Source organism: Homo sapiens, chromosome 1 (genome assembly GCF_000001405.40).
Source record: "Homo sapiens chromosome 1, GRCh38.p14 Primary Assembly".
NCBI lineage: Eukaryota > Metazoa > Chordata > Mammalia > Primates > Hominidae > Homo > Homo sapiens.
Window position 1 is genome coordinate 230173146 of NC_000001.11, and position 19635 is coordinate 230192780.

At 42.5% G+C, this 19635-nt stretch overlaps 1 protein-coding gene across 3 annotated transcripts in view, besides 3 other annotated features; it reads left to right on the forward strand.

Annotated features, from left to right (window-relative positions):
* GALNT2 (polypeptide N-acetylgalactosaminyltransferase 2) overlaps positions 1 to 19635 on the forward strand; it is a 224334-nt gene that overhangs the window by 115357 nt on the left and 89342 nt on the right. For all 3 annotated transcript variants that reach the window (NM_001291866.2, NM_004481.5, XM_017000964.3), the window contains one exon: positions 5073 to 5166. In NM_001291866.2, the coding sequence (NP_001278795.1) occupies positions 5073 to 5166 (94 nt within the window). The remainder of the gene's footprint in view (positions 1 to 5072; positions 5167 to 19635) is intronic.
* Positions 2829 to 3056: a silencer, noted in NCBI's record as "fragment chr1:230311720-230311947 (GRCh37/hg19 assembly coordinates)". NCBI's record gives its function as "represses an EF-1alpha promoter that drives an FKBP-Casp9 reporter gene in an ReSE screen in phorbol 12-myristate 13-acetate-treated (for megakaryocytic differentiation) K562 erythroleukemia cells {active_cell/tissue: K562(+PMA)}" and the evidence as "EXISTENCE:reporter gene assay evidence [ECO:0000049][PMID:32094911]".
* Positions 12561 to 13299: an enhancer, noted in NCBI's record as "OCT4-NANOG-H3K27ac hESC enhancer chr1:230321452-230322190 (GRCh37/hg19 assembly coordinates)". NCBI's record gives its function as "activates a minimal SCP1, AML or CMV promoter by ChIP-STARR-seq in naive H9 embryonic stem cells {active_cell/tissue: H9 hESC(naive)}" and the evidence as "EXISTENCE:reporter gene assay evidence [ECO:0000049][PMID:30033119]".
* Positions 13300 to 14038: an enhancer, noted in NCBI's record as "OCT4-NANOG-H3K27ac hESC enhancer chr1:230322191-230322929 (GRCh37/hg19 assembly coordinates)". NCBI's record gives its function as "activates a minimal SCP1, AML or CMV promoter by ChIP-STARR-seq in naive H9 embryonic stem cells {active_cell/tissue: H9 hESC(naive)}" and the evidence as "EXISTENCE:reporter gene assay evidence [ECO:0000049][PMID:30033119]".

A 19635-nucleotide genomic window follows, 5' to 3' on the forward strand; every position in this document is an offset into this window, starting at 1 on the left:
GACTTAGAGTTCTCTTTCTCTGGCCCAGATGCCATTTACAAAGGGAGCGAAGACCACAGCGCTGTACTTTAGGGCATCTAGGTCTTTCCAGAGGCTGCGTGTGGATGCATCCAATACTCTAGACCAAGGGGTGATGCCAGGCAGGGCAGCAGCGTTCTCCTGTCCCATGTTTCTCATTTGGTTGGCAGGGCATCCTAGACCTCTGGTTAAACTTCCCTGATGGAATGCAGTATTTGGTCAGAGCTGCTGAGCCCTCCCTTGTCTACACTTTCCTGAAGCACCATCTGTCTGTGGGGTAATCATTCTGCATTCACTGTCAACATCCCTCCTTTGAGGGTGGTGGAAACAAAGCAGAGATGGGTCTGCATCCTGGGAAATCAAAGCGGGCTTACAAGATCACAGGCTTTGAATTCTCTGCAACTTTTGACCCAGCATAAACCACATCATGACTTGTCTAATCTCAGTAGTTTATACTTGTCACTAAAAAGAGGACCTGTCTGTCACTGCATCAGTTTCCCCTTAAAAGGGAGAAAACACACAGATCTGTTGGTAGCACAGCCAGGATACCAGTGGCTACTGGGCGCAAGAGCCTTCTTCATACATTTGCATTCAGTACATTTCCATTTTTGAGCGGCACTGATGCTAGTGTAAATAAGTCTTATAATGTATGTAAATGTATGGGAGGGGGATTGTAACGAAAAACTTCCACTGCAGAGTAGGCGAAGCCAGTACAATCAATCTGAGTAAGTAGGGCGAGGATTTTTTTTTTTCAGCTGCATTTATTATTGAGCAACTATTGTAAGGCCACCAGCGCACTTGGTACCATAAGGATACAGAAGGAATATGACAGCTTTCCTTACCCTCAAAGAACCTGAAATCTTTTTGGATATCAAACATGGGCGAAGCAGGTAGCAAATGTAAAAGACCCCCAAGTGCTAACTGAATGTATCACCTACACAAGAACACTGGGCAGGCAGGGACCCGCTGTGCAAGAGGCATTGAGCCCAGCCTCCTAATCTTAGAGAAGTTAGACTCCAACACCCACTGCCATTGGCAGAGGCGTGGCTGGAACCCAAGGCTCTGGCTCCGAGGCCAGTGCTGCTCCCCACGTGTCATGCGGGGTCTCCTCCTTTCCTACTTGTCCCTGCAGCATTGGCCTCTCCTCTCCCCTGCACTGACACCTCACCTTCCCTGAGTGGTCTCCCTCCTGCTCACCAGTAGCTTTAATTACCCGGGGCCTTTTCACAACCCCAGATTTGTGCCTCCATCTGTTTGCAGATGCCTCCTCTTGGTATCTCACAGTAGCTTCATCATTTCCAAACCAAACTCCTCTATATTTCCTAGCACTGCTTCTTACCCTCCCCAGCAACTGTCTTGCATTTCTTCTCGGTGGACATCACACCTGTGTAGGAAGTGCTGCAGTCAGAAACCTGGGGCCGTCTTTGATTCTTCTTCCCCTTCGCACTCCTCCTGCTGCATTGCCAGCCCCTCCTAGCTGCACCTGTCTCCGCTCTGTCCCTCCGGGACCTGGACTGGGTCCAGCATGCCATCTTCCCATTGCTGCATTACTGAAATGGCCTCCTGGGCTCTCTTGTGCCCTCTAGTCTGCCCCCACCTTATAGCCATAGTGATATTTCTAGAATACAGGTCTCAGACTATCCTGCCGCTTCCGTGCCCTCCTGTTTTTGATCTTTCCCTTGTTCCATCTGTCTGGTACACCCACCACCGCTAGTCCCCATTGTTCCTTCTTGCCTCCCTTAGGTCTCCACCGAGGTACCACTTCCGTGTACAGCCTTCCTGGGGGCCCTGTTCTACGCGGGGCCTGTGCCTCTGGGCCGTTGTTCCCCACGCTTGTCTGTGGGTGTCTTTGCACAGCACAGGCCAAGATGCCTGGCCCCTGCTGTGTCTCTAGGAGCTGACTTTCTTAATACCAGGCCAAGGCCTTCGGTAGGGGTGGAGAGAAGAGAGTGGGACAAGACAAGCATCTACAGACCAGTGGTGGGTTGAGTGTGGGTGCTCCATCAGCCAGTGAACCTAGTCAGCCATCTTTGTAGGAATTTATTTCTAGTGACCAGACATATTCTGAGATGAATGGTTAGTACAATGTCTTAATTGAACTTTGGCTATTTAGTTGAGGGAGGGAGGAAGCTATCTTATCTAGAGGCAGTACAGCTAAATGACTGAGACCATAAACTCCAGCCCTGAGCTCCCCAGGGTGTGGATCCAGCCTCATACGAACACTAAATGTTCAGTGCCTTGGCTTCCTCACCTGTAAAATTGGAATAGTAATAGCATTGCAGGAAGATGAGCATATGTGCAGTGTCCAGAGTGGGGCTTGGCACCTCGTAAATACTGTGTTAGGCAGCAGTCACCATGGTGGTTCCTCCTTTTCATTGTCCTCCCCTCCCCCTCCTTCCCCTCCTCCTCTGCCTCCTCCCCTCCTCGTCCCCTCCTCGTCCTCCTCCTCCCCCTCCCTCTCCCCTCCTCCTCCTTTCCCTCTCCCCCTCCTCCTCCTCACTGTCCTCCCCCTCCTTCTCCTTGGGGGCTCCTCTTCCCCTTCCCCATTTTTACTGTAGGAGCAGGTATTTAAGATGATAATCTGCAGGTTTTGGCCTGGGAGTCCAGAACAAAACAGTCCTATGTGAGTGACCTCCTAGAAATGTATTCTTGGGTTTTTATGACATTTTGAGAATCAGGCTCTTATAATTTAGTTTAAATCGAGCCCTAGCCTGTCATTCCCACTCTGACTTACATAAAGGGCCAGATTTAGCTTTTTACCAGCTGCGTAACCTGGACAAATTGCTTAGCCTATCTTATGTGTCCTCATTGTAAGACAGGAATTATAAAATGCAGGAATGAGAGAGGGTCAATGCACAATGCTTGGCGCATAGTAGGTATTCGTAAATGGCAGGGCTTGTTCCATCTGCTTGGTACCTTGTCATGCCCTAATTATATGGGCATGAACTCACCCTGCACTAGTTTTATAGTAGGCATCGTTGATTGGAAGGAAGAAGGGAGGTTGAGGAGTGCTCACCCTGCACTAGTTTTATAGTAGGCATCATTGATTGGAAGGAAGAAGGGAGGGTGAGGAGTGTTACCTGTGGGCAAATCAATCTTATTTGTGGGCACAAAAAAAAAGTTTATTTTCTGGGAAAACACTGATGGTTGACCTGCAAATGTCAGATAATGACTACAGATGATGACTTTATTTTTACATGTAGAAAATATGCTAGAGTCACCAGCCCCACTGGCAGTGTTCACTTTTGATTTTATTCAGCTACAAGTTTAAATGATTTGATCCATTAGCTGGTGTACATAGAAGGCCAGATGCTGGGGTGGGGGTTGAGAGGTGGGAATTATCAGCCACAATGCTACAATCAAGCCTCAAAATAAAAATTAATGCGTAATTAAAAGTCTGCAGAGTGTGACTGTGGTAATTTCATTACTTGCTGATTTCGTATTCACATGTATCTCCTTACTTTGTAAAGCCAGTTGGTGGGTTAAATTCTCTCACCGTTGCCTATCTGCCAGGGTTCCCGCAAAATCAGTGCCAGTAGTAAATTGAAAGTTTCTTTATAGCCAAGTAATCTCAAAAGCCAAGTTATAAATATATCTTTTCAAAACTTTTTTGCAGTAAAAATTATTTAAATTGGGATACAGCTGCATTCTAATACATTTGTTGCAGCGTGGGGTAAGACTTGCAAAAGTACATGGGGCACTTAAAGGCCAGGAAGGTGTTCTGCTGGGTGGGTGGGGCTTGGACCCCCGGCTGCAGAATGGTTTCTCTCACCAGCCCGCCAAGGCTACAGTTCCTCCCTTCCTGCCATTTTCACGGCAGCCCTGATGTGATAAACCCAGCTGTATCGCCTCATTAGAGAAGCAACGGAAGCAAAAGCTAGCCAAGAGATGGGGGAGTCTTAGGCACAGTTTCTGTCTAATTACCGCACCTCTTGAGTAAAAATGCAGATTATTGGCAAAGCAAGTTGCATTTGGAAAAAATGTGTCATTTGGCCCAGGCCCTGAGGTTTACCCTTCTGCAGATCTCACTTTACGTTTTAAGTAAAGAACCAAAACGTCTCCAGTGGTGAACGTGCGTGCAGCACACAGTCCGCACTGGTCCAGAGGAGTGCTGGTGGAATAAACCCGGGGAGAGCTGGGTTCCCCGCCCCGCAGGGAGGGATTACTGTTGCGTATCCGCCTAATCGCATCTGCTCAGGAAAATGGCCAGCTGACAATGCTTGGCTCACAGGAGTCTGGTGGGAAAATTACTAGCCATGGCTTATTTCTGATTTGGGTTATATACAGAAACCTTTCTTATTTTAGTCACAGAAATCAGATTCCCAGTGGTGGAAAATATATATTTAGCTCTGTGGTCGTGCAGTTGTTATTTAGTCTGATTTAATGTTGATAAATTAGAGTAAATTGTTTGCCCAGATGAGTTGAATAAATTCTGCCAGAGCTTATATCTTATTCTGTTTTCACATTGAGTCCTTAATATGTATCTCTGTTTCATTGGCAGTCCTATTAGAGTAAGTCCTAGAAAAAGCTTGGTGGCCCTACCCCCTGCTCCTGTGTTAGTCAGTGGAATTAAATCATTTAACACTCTCTGAGGGGAGCTCAAAGGAGCCCTTAGGGAGAATCTGGTCCTAAGATGTCCATAAACCACCTAAGATGTCTGGAGAGCTACCTTCATTTTAATGGCTTTAATTTAACCACTCTAGAATTATTTCATTTAATCCACTTTCCCTATCTCGCTTCCCCACCCTCACAAATCCCCAAAGCCCTGGGAGTTTTTGGAGTATTTCCTTCCCACAGATAAGCAATACAAATATAAAATGAAGAGAGAAATGCAAACCCTTGGGAAAGGTCATGCCCATACTTTTCTCCCCTTGCATCTTGACTCCCTAACAATTTCTGGTGTGTGGGGTCTTTAAGATGTGCCCTCCCTCCTGCTCATCAGTGCATCCCCAGGGCCAAGTGTTAACTCTCCTAAGACTCGGTATGTATTGAACTGATGAATGAAGGTGTGCTTGAAGAACAAGTCAACTCATTCAGTGTCTTTGTTCCCCTAGGAGGACTGGAATGAAATTGACCCCATTAAAAAGAAAGACCTTCATCACAGCAATGGAGAAGAGAAAGCACAAAGCATGGAGACCCTCCCTCCAGGTACTGCCAGGGGCCAGGAAGCCATCTTGCTTTGAGCACGTGATTGGGAGTGGACTGAGCATGGCTCTTGGAGCAGGTGGTCTGTGGGGAGAGGCTGGATTCCATAGGTCAGCAGGAGACACCGCCCTAAAGCACTGCTTTGCCAACTTCCATCGGACCCATTAGTGGGTGGTCAAGTTAAAACTTTTATAGGAGGTGACCAAAATGTGTTGAAAAGAAAATAAAAATAGACTAAAGTAGAAAGTATATATTAGTATATATTAGTTCATGAAATATTTTTAATAGACTTTATTTTTTAGGGCAGTTTTAGCTTCAGAACAAAACTGAGGGGAAGGTACAGAGAATTCCTGTATACCTCCTGCACCCCCACCCCCAACACACATACAACCTCCTCCATTGTCAGTATCCCCCAACAGAGTGGTACATTTGTTACAATCCATGAACCTGCATTGACACGTCATCATCACCCGAAGTCTGTAGTTGACATTAGGGTTCACTCTCGATGTTACACATTCTGTGGGTTTGGACAAATGCATAATGGCGTTTAGCCGCCATTGTAGTATCATACAGAGTCGTTTCACTGCCTTAAGAGTCCTCCGTGCTCTGCCCATTCATCCTTTGCTCCCCCCAGCCCCTGGCAACCAGCGATCCTTTTGTTGCCTCTGAAGTTTTGCTTTTCTAGAATGTCAGGCAGTTGGAATCATAGGGTATGTCAGCTTTTCAGATTAGCTTCTTTCACTGAGTAATATATATTTAATATATATTTATTTTAATATATTAATATTTAATATATATTTAAGGTTCCTCCATGTCTTTTCATGGCTGGATAGCTCATTTCTTAATGAATTAACATTCCATTGTCTGGGTGTATTAGTTTGTTTATTCACCTAGTGAAGGACATCTTGGTTGCTTCCAAGTTTTGGCAATTATGATTAAAGCTACTATAAATATCTATGTACCAGTTTTCGTGTAGACATAAGTTTTCAGCTCATTTGGGTAAATACCAAAGGGTATGATTGCTGGATCATATGGTAAGAGTATGCTGAGTTTTGTAAGAAACTGCTAAGTTGTTTTCCAAAGTGGCTGTTCCATTTTCCATTCCCACCACAGTGAGTGAGGGTTCCTGTTTCTCTACATCCTCACCAGCATTTGGTGTTGCCAGTGTTCTGGATTTAGGCCACTCTAATAGGTGTGGAGTAGTATTTCACTTTTGTTTTTATTTCCAATTCTCTAATGACATATGATGTTGAGCATCTTTTCATAGGCTTATTTGCCATCTGTATATTTTCTTTTCTGAGGTGTTCACTCCTTTTGCGCATTTTTAATCCAGTGGTTCATTTTCTTATTGTTGAGTTTTAAGAGTCTGTATACATTTAGGATAATCGTCCTTTATCAGATATGGGTTTTGTAAATGTTTCTCCTAGTCTGTGGCCTGTCTTCTCATTGTCTTGATAGTGTCCTAGAAGATTTTAATTGATTAAAATCTGGCTTATCAATTATTTCCTTCATTGTCACGCCTTTGGTGTTTTCTCTAAAAAGTCTTCACCATGACAAAAAGGTCACCTAGATTTTCTTCTATGTTATCTTCTATGAGTTTTATACTTTGGTGTATTTACTTATTTATTTGAGACAGAGTCTCACTCTGTTGCCCAAGCTGGAGTGCAGTGGTGAAATCTCAGCTCATTGCAACCTCCACCTCCCAGGTTCAAGCGATTCTCCTGTTTAAGCCTCCCAGTAGCTGGGATTACAGGCATCTGCCACCAAGCCCAGCTAATTTTTGTATTTTTAGTAGAGACAGCGTTTTGCCATGTTGGCCAGGCTGGTCTCAAACTCCTGACCTCAGGTGATCCGCCCGCCTCGGCCTCCCAAAGTGCTGGAATTACAGCGGGAGCCACCACGCCTGGCCTACTTTGGTGTTTTACATTTAGGTCTGTGATTCATTTGGAGTTAATTTTGTGAAAAGTGTAAGAGCTGTGTCTAGGTTCTTTTTTTTTTTTTTTTTTTTTTTTTTGGCATGTGAGTGTCCAGGTCTTCCAGAAACATTTGCTGAAGAGACTCTCTTCTCTCCGCTTTATTGCCTTTGCTCCTTTGTCAGAGATCAGTTGGCAATATTCGTATGGTTCTATATTGGAGCTCTTTATTTGCTTCCATTGGTCTATTTTTCTGTTATTTTGCCACTACCACACTGCCTTGATTACCATGACTTCATGTAAAGTCTTGAAGCCGAGTAGTGTTAGTCACCTTTGTTTTCTTTCAAGGTAGTTTTAGCTATTCCAGATCTTTTGCTGTTCCATATAAATTTGTAAATTTTAGAATCAGTTTGTTAATATCCACAAAACAACTTGCTGGGATTTTGGCTCTAATTGCATTGAATCTATAGATCAAGTTGAGATTAACTGACATTTTGACCATATTGTCTTACTCCCCATGAATGTCAAATATTTTTTCATTTAATTCTTTTGATACCTTTTATCAGAATTTTGTAGTTTTCCTCATACAGAATTTATACATATTTTGTCAGATTTGTACCTAAGTTTTTCATTTTGGGAGTTTCTAATGTAAATGGTCTTGTGATTTTCACTTCACATTCCACTCCTTTGTTACTGGTATATAGGAAAGCAGTTGACTTTTGTATATTGACCTCACATCTTGTAACCTTGCTGTAATTGTTTATTAGTCCTAGGAAATTTTTGTTCATTGTTTCAGGTTTTCTGCACAGACAATCATGTGATCTATGAACAAATAGGATTTTATTTATTTTCTTCCAATCTTTATACTTTTTTTTTTGTCTTATTTCATTAGCTAGGACTTCCAGCACAGTGTTGAAGAAGAGTGGTGAGGGGTCATCTTTGCCTTGTTCCTGATCTTAGTGGGAAAGTTTCCAGTTTTTCACCATTAAGTATGATGTTAGCTGCAGGATTTTTGTAGGTATTCTATATCAAGTTGAGGAAGTTCTCATACATTCCTAGTTTGAGAATTTGTAACATGAATGGGTGTTGGATTTTGTCAAGTGGTTTTTTTGCATCTATTGATATGATCATGTGATTTTTCTTGCTTAGCTAGTGGACATGATGGATTACGTTAATGGGTTTTCATTTGTTGAGCCACTGTTGCATAACTGGCATAAATCCTACTTGATCATGGTGTATAATTCTCTTTATACATTGTTGAATTTGATTTGCTTTATTTTGTTGAGAATTCCTGCATATGGTCATATGAGAGCTATTAATCAGTACCTTTCGTTTCCTTTTTTTTTTTTTAGAGACAGGGTTTCACCATGTTGGCCAGGCTGATCTTGAACTCCTGACCCCAGGTGATCTGCCTGCCTCAGCCCTCCCAAAGCGCTGGGATTACAGGCGTGAGCCAGCACACCCAGCCATACCTTTCTTTTCTTAAATGTCTTTGTCTGGTTTTTGGTATTAGGGTAATGCTGGCCTCATAGAATGAGTTAGGAAGTATTTCTTCTGCTTCTGTCTTCTGGAAGAGATTGTAGAGAATTGGTATAATTTCTTTCTTTAAATGTGGGTCAGAATTCATCAGTGAACACACCTAGGCCAGGTGCTTTCTGTTTGGGAAGATTATTAATTATTGATTCAATTTCTTTAATAGATATGACCAGTTCAAATTGTCTATTTCTTCTTATGTGAATTTTGGCAGAGTATGTCTTTGGAGGAATTGGTCCATTTAATCCAGCTTATTGAATTTATGGGAATAGAGTTGTTCATACTATTCCGTATTGTCCTTTTCATATCCATGGGATCTGTAGTTATATCCCCACTTTCATTTCTGATATTGGTAAAATGTGCCTTTTTTCCTTTTCACTTAGTCTGGTTAGAGATTCATTGATTTTATTGATATTTTGAGAGAACCAGTTTTTGTTTTTGTTTTTTTCTGTATTGATTTTCTGTTTTCAATTTTATTGATTTCTGTAATAATTTTTAGTATGTCTTCTACTTACTTTGGATTTAACTTTCTCCTTTTTCTAGTTTTTTCAAGTAGAATCTTAGATGATTGCTTTTAGATCTTTCTTATTTTCTAATGTATGCACTCAGTACTATAAATTTCTTTGGAAGCACTGCTTTTGCTGCATCTCACAAATTTTCATAAGTTTTGTTTTCATTTTTATTTACTTTGGAAATTTAAAATCATTTTTTCTTGAGATTTCTTCTTTGACCCCTGTGTCATTTAGAAGTGCGTTGTTTAGTCTCCATGTACTTTGGGATTTCCCAGCTAGCTATCTTTCTGTTATTGAATCTAGTTTAATTGTATTGTGTTCTGAGAGCACACAGTCTGATTTCTGTTCTTTTCAATTTGTTAAGGTATGCTTTGTGGCCCAGAATGTGGCCTCTTTTGGTGAATGTTCCATGTGAGTTTGAGAAGAATGTGTACTCTGCTGTTTTTGACTGAATTAGTCTATAGATATCAATTATATCTAGTTGATTGATGGTGTTGTTGAGTTCAACTCTGTCCTTATTGAGCTTCCTCTTGCAGGATCTGCCCATTTTTGACAGAGGACTATTGAGGTCTCAAACTATAACAGTGAGTTCATTTATTTCTCCTTGCAGTTCTATCTATCATGAACTGCATGGACATTTTTATGCCTCATGCATTTTTATGCTCCTTTTAGGCACATACACATTAAGGATTGTTGTATCTTTTTGGAAAACAGACTTTTAAAAAATCATTGTGTAGTTCTGTCTTGATCCCTTAAAAATTCCTATGATCTAAAGTCTACATTGTCAGAAATTAATATAGCTATTCTTACTTTCTTTTGATTAGTGTTAGCATGATAGATCTAACTTTTCTTGGTAAAGGCCATTCTTTATCATTTTACTTTTAATCTATGTGTGTTGTTTTATTTATAGTGGATTTGTTGTAGACAACATATAATTGGGACTTATTTTTCGATTCTCACAATCTTGGTATTTTCTTTGGTGTATTTAGACCATCGATGTACACAGTGATTGTTGATATATTTAAATTCATATTTACTATATTTGTTATTGTTTTTTATTTATTGCCCTTATTCTGTGTTTGTACTTTTACCTTTCACACTTTTTCTGCCTTTTGTCGTTTTAATTGAGCTTTCTGTATGATCCCATTTTCTCTCTCTTCTCAGCATATCTATTATGTGTCTTAAAAAAAAATTAGTTGGTCTTCTTTCAGATAACACTATACTTTTTCACAGGTAGTGCACGTATCTTATAACAACAAAGTATTCTTGATTCCTCCCTCCCATCACTTATATCATTGCTGTCATTCATTTTACATCCACATAAGCATATGTATATAATATATAAAAGAATACATGATGGAATATATTGTTGCTATTATTATTTCAAACAACCCATTATATGATAGTTCAATTAAGAATAAGAAAAATAGGCGAGGAGCAGTGGCTCATGCCTGTAATCCCAGCACTTTGGGAGGCCGAGGCAGGCAGATCACCTGAAGTCAGGAGTTCAAGACCAGCCTGGCCAACATGGTGAAACCCTGTCTCTACAAAAAATACAAAAATTAGCCAGGTGTGGTGGTGCGTGCCTGTAATTCCAGCCACCTGGGAGGCTGAGGCAGGAGAATCGCTGGAACCTGGGAGGCGGAGGCTGCAGTGAGCCGAGATCGTACCACTATTCTGAGCCTGGGTGACAGAGCAAGACTACAACTCAAAAAAAAAAAAGGAAAAGTTTTTATTTTACCTTCACTTATTCCTTCTTTGATGCATCCTTTCTTCATGTAGATCCAGGTTTCTGATCGATGTTATTTTCTTATGTTAAAAGAGCTGCTTTTAACATTTTTTGCAAGGCAGGTCTACTGGCAACAAATTCCCTCAACTTGTGTTTGAGGAAGTCTCTATCCCTTCTTCATCTTTGAAGATCAATCTTTTTTTTTTTTTTTGCGACAGAGTCTCGCTCTATTACCCAGGCTAGAGTGCAGTGGTGCTATCTCAGCTCACTGCAAGCTCTGCCTTCTAGGTTCATGCCATTCTCCTGCCTCAGCCTCCCGAGTAGCTGGGACTACAGGCGCCCAACCACACCCAGCTAATTTTTTTGTATTTTTTTAGTAGAGATGGGGTTTCACCACATTAGGCAGGATGGTCTCGATCTCCTGACCTCGTGATCCACCCACCTTGGCCTCTCAGAGTGCTGGGATTACAGGCGTGAGCCACCGCGCCTGGCCTGAAGATCAATCTTAAATGGTACAGAATTCTAGGTGGTCATTTTTTTTTTCTCTGAGCCCTTTAAATATTTCCCTCTCCTCTCTTCTTTCCTGCATGGTTTCTGAGAAGACATTAGTTATAATCCTTCTCTTTGCTCCTCTATTGATAGGTAAGGTGTTTCTTTCAATTTTTTTTCTTTATCTTTGATTTTCTGCAATTTGAATATGATATGCCTCAGTGTAGTTTTTGGAGCCTTTATACTATTCTGTGTGTTCTCTAAGTTTCCTTAATTTGCGTTTTGGTGTTCAACATTAATTTGGGGAAATTCTTAGTCATTATTGCTTCCAGTATTTCTCCTGTTCCTTTCTCTCTTTCTTCTCCTTCCGATATTCCCATCATGCATATTTACACCACTGTAATTGTTCCACAGTTCTTGGATATTATTTCAATTTTTTTCATCTTTTTTGTCTTTGCATTTGAGTTTTAGAAGTTTCTAATGTCATGTCCTAAAGTTTAGAGATTTTTTTCCTCAGCATGTCATGTCTGCTAATGAGCCCATTAAAGACATTCCTCATTCTCTACAGTGTTTTTGATCTCTAGCATTTCCTTTTGATTCTTTCTCATAATTTCCATTTCGCTGCTTACATTATCTGTCTGTTCTTGTGTGTTACCTACTTTTTCCATTAGAGTCCCTAGCATATTAATTATAGTTGTTTTAAATTCCTGATCTGATCATTCCAACATTGTTCTATATCTGAGTCTGGTTCTGATACTTGCTGTGTCTCTTTAAACTGTGCGTGCGTGCGTGTGTGTGTGTGTGTGTGTGTGTGTGTGCGCGCGTGTGTGTGTGTGTTTAACCTCTTAGTGTGCCTTGTAATTTTATGTTGAAAGCTGGATGTGATGGACTTGGTGCACGGAACCCTGGTAAACAGGCCTTTAGTTGTGTGGTGTTAAGGTGTAGTGGGAGGGGAAGCTTGCTATAGTCCTATGATTTGGTCTCATTCTTTTAGGGAACCTTTGTGTCTGGGCTGTGAGCCTCACATTTGCTTCTCAGCTTCCCCCTCTCCACATCCTTAGGTGATACTAAAGTCTAGCAGAGGCTGGTTATTTCCTGTTCCTCAGATTGGACAGGCTCTGATAAATGCTAGCAGTTTAGTCCCTGTTTAAATAGTTTCTCCCGATGGCAGGCCTTATTAATAAGAACACAGTGCCCTGGCTTCTTTCAAAATGGTTATTTTCCCCTCTCACTGTTGTAAGCATGAGGGGATATTTCTTCAATATTCACTGTGAGGATCTGGTAGAGCTCCAGGAGGTAAAACTCACACAAATATAGCTGCCACACCCCCATGACTGGGTCCCCCTGGAGTTTTTAATCTCTTAGGCTTGTCCACAGTGAGCCTCCAGGAATTTTCCACTACAGTTTAGGTTTTCCTACCCCCGTAGTGGATCTTCAGGGGTTTCTACTTACAGGCTTCTGCTCCAGTGAATTGTGATTCCTTGTATTCACCTGTCCAATTTGGGGGGCTGTGGCTTGTGACATTTCTCCAACAGATCCAAGGCAGATCTCTAAGAAGTGCTGATTTTTCATTTTATTCAGCTTTTTACTGTTAGGACGGAATAACGACTTTCAAGCTCCTTACATGCCTATTGGGAACTGGACGTCCGTTTATGAAGTGTTTGCTTTGCTGGCAAGAGTGTTTGCTGGTGAGAGTGTTTGCTGGTGAGAGTGTTTGCACGTTGTGTTCTTGACTGTGGTTGGACAAGCGTCACCCCAGGGAGTCCAAGCCCCTCCTTTGTGCCCTCCCCATGCGTTGTCCCACCTACACCAGATGCAGGTATGTCACTGTCTCCTCCAGGAACTCTGACTGGACGCATGCATGCAGTCAATTTGTGTGTTAAGTCGGCCTCCCTGTCATCTTTCCAGCTCCTGGATGAGTCATGAAGCCCTGAGCCACAGTTCTTTCATATGTAAAGTAAACATTACCCACACAATGGGGAGCATCTGAATAGAATAGTTAATATTCCTTTATTATAATAATAGGAAGCTAGGATACACACTTCTGTTGTGTGGATTAATGAGAGACTTCCTATGGATTATCTTCTATTAAAAACATACAAGTGTTCTGATGGTTTTCAGGCAAATAGAGAGAGGGAGGGAAAAGCCATCTTCAGGTCATAGGCTGGATTTGACCATTGAGAGTCATACCTTACTTAAAATCATTTGAGTGCTCACATTGACTCTGCCTTTCATATCCTTAACTATTGCATACAGTTGGTTTTCTTATCTTCAAAGAGATCAGAATGTACTGATTTGCCTCTCTTTTGAGTTATTAGTAGTAATTTTTGATAAATGCACAATGTCTTTTTATTTTGCCAAAGGGCTTTCTTTCCTTTTTATGTTGAAACCATTTTTCTTACTAAACCAACATACACATAATTTTTTTGTTGTTAGAAATTATTTTCTTGTGATTGAAAAATACATTTTCCCTAAGCATGAGGAACACAGCTAAAGTTTTATGGTTTGCAAGAAACCGCTGGCCATGGCACTTCCCAGTGTGTCAGTGGTGTGTTCAGGAAGCTCAGTGGCTTCCTGTGTTCTGTGTGTTGGGCATGTAGCAGTTGTAGACAGATGGGCGGGAAGACATGACACCAAGCTGGATGCTTTTATGGCCACAGAACCCACTGACAGATGAAGGAGCCAGATCTAACAGGGCAGAGCAGTGATGTTCCAGGCCAACAGTCTCCAATTTTCTGATCGCACACTCTATGAACAGACGTATATTTAGACCACCTCCCACACACATATGTATTAAAATGCTTACTTAGGAATTACATGCATATTGCCGTACAGATTTATTGATACATTCTAAATGAAATGGGATAGTTCCCTTGACCCCTTCACAGGACTCAGCCCACAGCTCTCAGCCCCTCATGGGAGGAGCAGCATGCAGGTGAGTGGGTGCAGGGGCTGGGGTGAGTGCTTTTGGGCATCGGCAGGAGTAGAACTCTGTGCAGCCCCCCGGCAGCATCTGGGTGGGGCTACCTGTGACCCCTGGAGCCCTAGAGGGCATATGTTACAGTGTGCTCTTAGATTTGCTGTCCACAGATGACTTAAGTGTTAGCTCAGTGCAAGGTCAGTGTGACAGCCTTTTGCATCCACCCTCTTGGTACCTGAATTCTCGTCCGGTGTCCAGGAAGAATCAAGTTGTGCAAACAAATTGAAGGATGGTGAATGTGGAGGACTTTATTGAGCACTGGAAGTGGCTCTCAGTGGGATGGGAAGCTAGAAAGGGGGTTAAGTGGGAAGATGGTCTTCCCCTGGAGTCCTGCTGTCCCCAGCCAAACTCTTCTCCAAAGTCCTGCTGTCAAGCTGTCCCTCTGAAATCAAGCTGATTCTCTCCAACATCCGGCTGTTTCTTCTCTCCTTCTCTATTGCTTTGCTGGTAGGGCCTGGGGTTTTTATGGGTACAAGATGGAGGGTGGGGCGGGCCGGGGTGGTTTTGGAAAAGGCAACATTCGGGCAGGAAAACAGAAATGCATGTTCTCACTTTGGGCCCTACGGTTCCAGGCTTGAGGGTGTGGCGTTTGCTAGGGACCACTCTCTCCTACCCAGTATTTCCCTGCCTCCTGTTTGTATCATAAAGTGTATTTAAAATAAGCTATTATAAAGGATGAGGAAAATACTTGACAATGTCTGTCATTTTCTTTCTTTGCCCCAGAAGATTGTCTTATGTGGCCCCACTTTGGAGACTACCACTCTTGGGGCTGCCGTGGTCACAAAAACCCAGATTATTGTTTTAACTCTATTTCTTGCCTTGGTTCATCGTACTTTGGGGAAGAATCTGGAATTTGTATAAAGTATACCACCCAAGTGGCAGTCCCAGCTGGAAGTCATGGAATGGGGGCAAGAACAATAACCTGGGAGCACGGGATCTGGGTTCGGAACAAGGATGATGGCCGGGAGCTCTAGGCTCAGCTGTGCCACCAGTCCTGTGGCCTTAGACAAGTTAAGGAGTATTTGGGTTTTGTTTTCCTTGTCTGTAAAATTTAGATACATTCTTGCTCTAAAACTCTTTGATTCTGTTAACTGTGTCTTACCATTTCCCTTTAATCTCTATTCTCAGATTGGAATCACCAATTTTATTTTCTTTTACATGCTGTAAAAATATATCTCTGTAGTTCCCCCCACCCTCATACCACATTTCAGGTCTACTGTGGATGAGTTTTTGCCCATAAACTCTGTGACCCTTGCTTCTATTTCAGCATCATGCTTTCTACTTGGAACCACTGAATTTTTTTTTTCAGTGTTGGTTTTTAAAATATTGTCTTCAAATAGAGTATGTATATTAGTCAATATTTTGTATTTTGGAAATCTATCTGATAGAGAAGAATGTCATTTTTTCCCCTTGGTGTGGAAAAACTTCTGGATTGAAAAATAAGTTTCTCCCTGTAATTGTCTCTGAATCTGACCAGCCAGCCAGCTGGCAGAAGGACTGGCAAAGGAGCGGGGGCCGGAAGAGGAGCAGGGGCCAGTAGAGGAGTGGGGCCGGAAGAGGAGCAGGGGCAGCTGTAGGGGCTAGAAGGCCGAGGTCTGCCTCTGAGGACAGCTGTTGATGAGGTTCTTGTTGGAGATCTCTCACCCTTTGGTCAACGTGGCCTTTTGGAGCAGATTTTCTCTTTGCCTTTATGAGACCTTAGTGTCATTCTTGTATTCCTTAGTAACCTTGTGTAAAGGGCTGAGGCTTAGGAGAGACGAGGGTAGGGAGAGAGTTCAGAAAGGAGAGTCCTAAGGCCGTCTGGATTCTCCTTGAGCCCCCTCCCCATCCTGGTCCTGGGCTGTGTCTTCATCACAGCCACCCCTCCCCGATGTGCTGTTGGTTCAGTTACCCCAGACAGTGGATTTCTCAGAACAGAAATTGCTAATGTTCACGTAAAGATGAATGAAATGGGAATGATGAAATGTGTTAAGAGAACTTAAATCCAGGGTGTGAATTGCCACTGATCCTAACAGAGACGTTTTAGCTTTTCTACTTCCCACCTGCCGGAAGAAAGATGAGATAAACCACTTGTGTTATTTGTTCAGCATTGCTGCAGCATCAGAGAGGAGTGTTCCCCGACCCTTTGTTTTTCTAGGTGACTTAATGGGTTCTGGCATTGTGCATTTATCTTTTTAATTGTGGTAAAAGATGCGTAACACTAAAGTTGCCATTTTAAGCGTTGTTAAGCATACAGGTCCGTGGCATTAAGCGCATTCACAGTGTTGTGCAGTCATCACCACCATCAATTAGAGCTGTTTTCATCTTGCAAAATGGAAACTGTACCCATGTAGTACCAATGTCCCATTCCTCCCTCTCCCAGGCCCTGGTATTCCTGTTTCTATGAATTTGGTTCCTCTGGGTCCCTCATATGAGTGCAGCCTTACAGTACTTGTCCTTTATTTCTGGCTTGTTCACTTAGCATAACTCCTCCAGGTTCACCCATGTTGTGGGTCAGAATTCCCTTCCTGTGTCTCTGTGAACCATGTGCCCTGTGATACATGTCGTGTGAGGTGGAACCGTGTGACACTTGTGGGGAGCGAAGTCTACGTAGTTCTTCATGAGCCAGGCCTGAGGCCAGTGATCTGCACAGTGTTGTCATAAGGAAAATAAGTGGCTGTCAGTGTCTTTAGGGAAGCATCTTTTAAAAAGCAAGCAATGTGTGTATTGTACGTTTTAGAAATTCAGATAAGCAAAAATAAGAAAATTATATTCATACATAATTCTACCATCCAGAAACAACCACCATTCCTCTCCCACTGCGTGTTCCTCCATACTTGCCCTGGGCGTATACCCAGGTGGGTGTGCTGCCCCCATAGCTGAGACGAAGGGGTCTCCTCTGCATGGGATGCGCCAAGACCCACGCACTTGAAGCCTCAGGCCTTGCACAGTTTCTTAGAGTTGGCTCCTGGGACCAAATGCTCCTGAAGCATCTGGCCTCTCTGACAACAGGTCCTGAGTTTTATCCCACATTCAAAGTTCAATCTTTTCGTGAATTTCTATGAAAATTCAGGTCATCCACAAGGTGACTAGCATTTCAGTAGATTTGGGGGATTTGCTGAGACGTCTCTCCACACACGCCCATCTCTCTTTCAGAGCCCCCTCTGGGCTCTGACTCCCTGATCGGGGGCCACCCTCCTCTCTCTTCTCTCCTGAAACGGGGCCTTTTTCTATGGGCAGTTCCCTACCATCTGCTTACAGCTAGATTTTTACAAATACAGCACTGTGGTGTACCATCTCTGCTTGGGCGATATATCGGGAACTCCTTTTCACATCCATAAACATCTCCTATAGCATTTTAATGGCAGCAACATCTCGACCGCCATCGGCTCATTGAACTTATTTTTTGTTGTGGGACATAAAGAGGGGTTCCAGCCAGTATCCTGAGAGGTAAATCTTTGTTTAAGTCCATGATTATTTTCTTGAAATGAATTCCTAAAAGTGAAATTGCAGGGTCAATGGCAATGCATGCATTTTTTAATATTAGTTGCCATTTTATCTTCCACAGGGGGCCTATTTTCTTACTCTAGCCAACATTAAAAAATCTTCATTGTCCTTCTCCTGTTCCAACAAGCAAGAAAGTGGAGACCAAGGGCTGAGATCAGTAGCCAGAAATGTAATGGAGCTGTTTAAAAATAGTTATCTTAAGCTTTATTAGTCGAAATACAGTGTCTAGAAGCAGTCACGTGACATCCAGTGTTCTCTGGGCTCCCACCCCATAGCTGAAGTGTTTAGTTCTCTTCAGAGCACAGAGTGTTCAGGGATGCTGATAAACTAGAGTTAGTCCGGCTGACAGTGACTCAGATTTTGAGGAAGCGGAAGCAGTGTCCGATGAGGAACATGTGCAGTAACTGTGGATGTTTTTACAGAAGGGCTTCCAAGGGGAAGTGGGATCATGATGTCTGAATATTTGAAAGGCTACCATATAAAAGAGGCTGAAGACTTTTTTTCTCTTTTTATTTGAGACTTCTGTTTCTTTTATTTGAGCAGAAATTAGAGGGAAGCATTTTTTTGTTTCTGTTGTTGTTTTGAGACAGGGTCTCACCAACCCAGGTTGGAGTGCAGTAGTGCAATCATAGCTCACTGCAGCCTCAAAGTCCTGGGCTTAAGCAGTCCTCCTGCTTCAGCCTCCCACACAGCTAGGACTACGGGTATGTGCCACTATGCCAGACACATTTTTAAAATTTTTTGCAGAGACAGCATCTCGCTATGTTCCCCAGGCTGATCTCAAACTCCTGAGCCCAAGTGATCCCTATTCCTTGGCCTCCCAAAGTGCTGGGATCATAGGCGTGAGCCACCGTGCCCATTCAGGAAGCAGCGTTTGTTTTTATCTGAGGAAGCCCCCACCAACAGTTCTCGCTGTCCAGTGAAACAGCTGCCTTTTGAAACGGGGGGCTCCCCATGCTCAGCACCTCTTCAGCTGTGGCTGGACATTAGGGACTGTAATGGAAAGATTTTCACACCTGGAGAGATGATGTCCACAGTTCCTTCTGAGTCCAACAACAGGTGATGCCAGTGTTTCAGAGACAGGAACACCTGCTCTCAAAGTCAGAGACTCAGTCACTCCAGGGTGGAGACAGGACTGGCACTGCCACCTGAAAGGGGGCTGGGCAGCTGAGAACTGCACAGGCATGCAGGGTTGCTTTTTGGTGTTTCGCTTCAATTTTCCCCACTTAAAAGTGAGTTGTCGGGTGCAGTGGAGGGAACACAGACTGGGCATAATTAGGACCTGGGTTTGAGTTGTGGTTCCATCGTCTTACAGCTGTGATATGTTGGATAAGTTTAACTTCTGTGCCTTAGTTTCCTAACTTGTAAAGCAGAAACCCTCATATTTGACATGGTTATGGTATGGTGTGGACAAGGTCTTGTATGAAGTAGCAGACCAAGTAGTCACTGGTTAACAGATGCTGTCTTTCTCTCCTTCTGTCTTTTTCATCTGTTGGCTGGGATTCTGGGCAGTAGATTCACTTTGATATTATTACTGATATTTAGGATGAAAAAGAAGATTGGTCAAGACCATGTACAATAGGCTAAATTTATTATGGTTAGGTAGTACAACATATAACGAAAAATGAAGAATTTTCATTTCAAATTTGAAGAAGAGATATAGGATGATTCATACATGAAGATTTATTGCACTTTATCAATTTGATACTGTTTTGTGGTATATTTTTAGTTGTTTTGATAGCACAGATAATTTTAAACAAATGAAAACTATTTCCTCTATAACATCTGATATTTTCTTAGGTTTTCTTTTAAATAGCTTTTTATCACTTC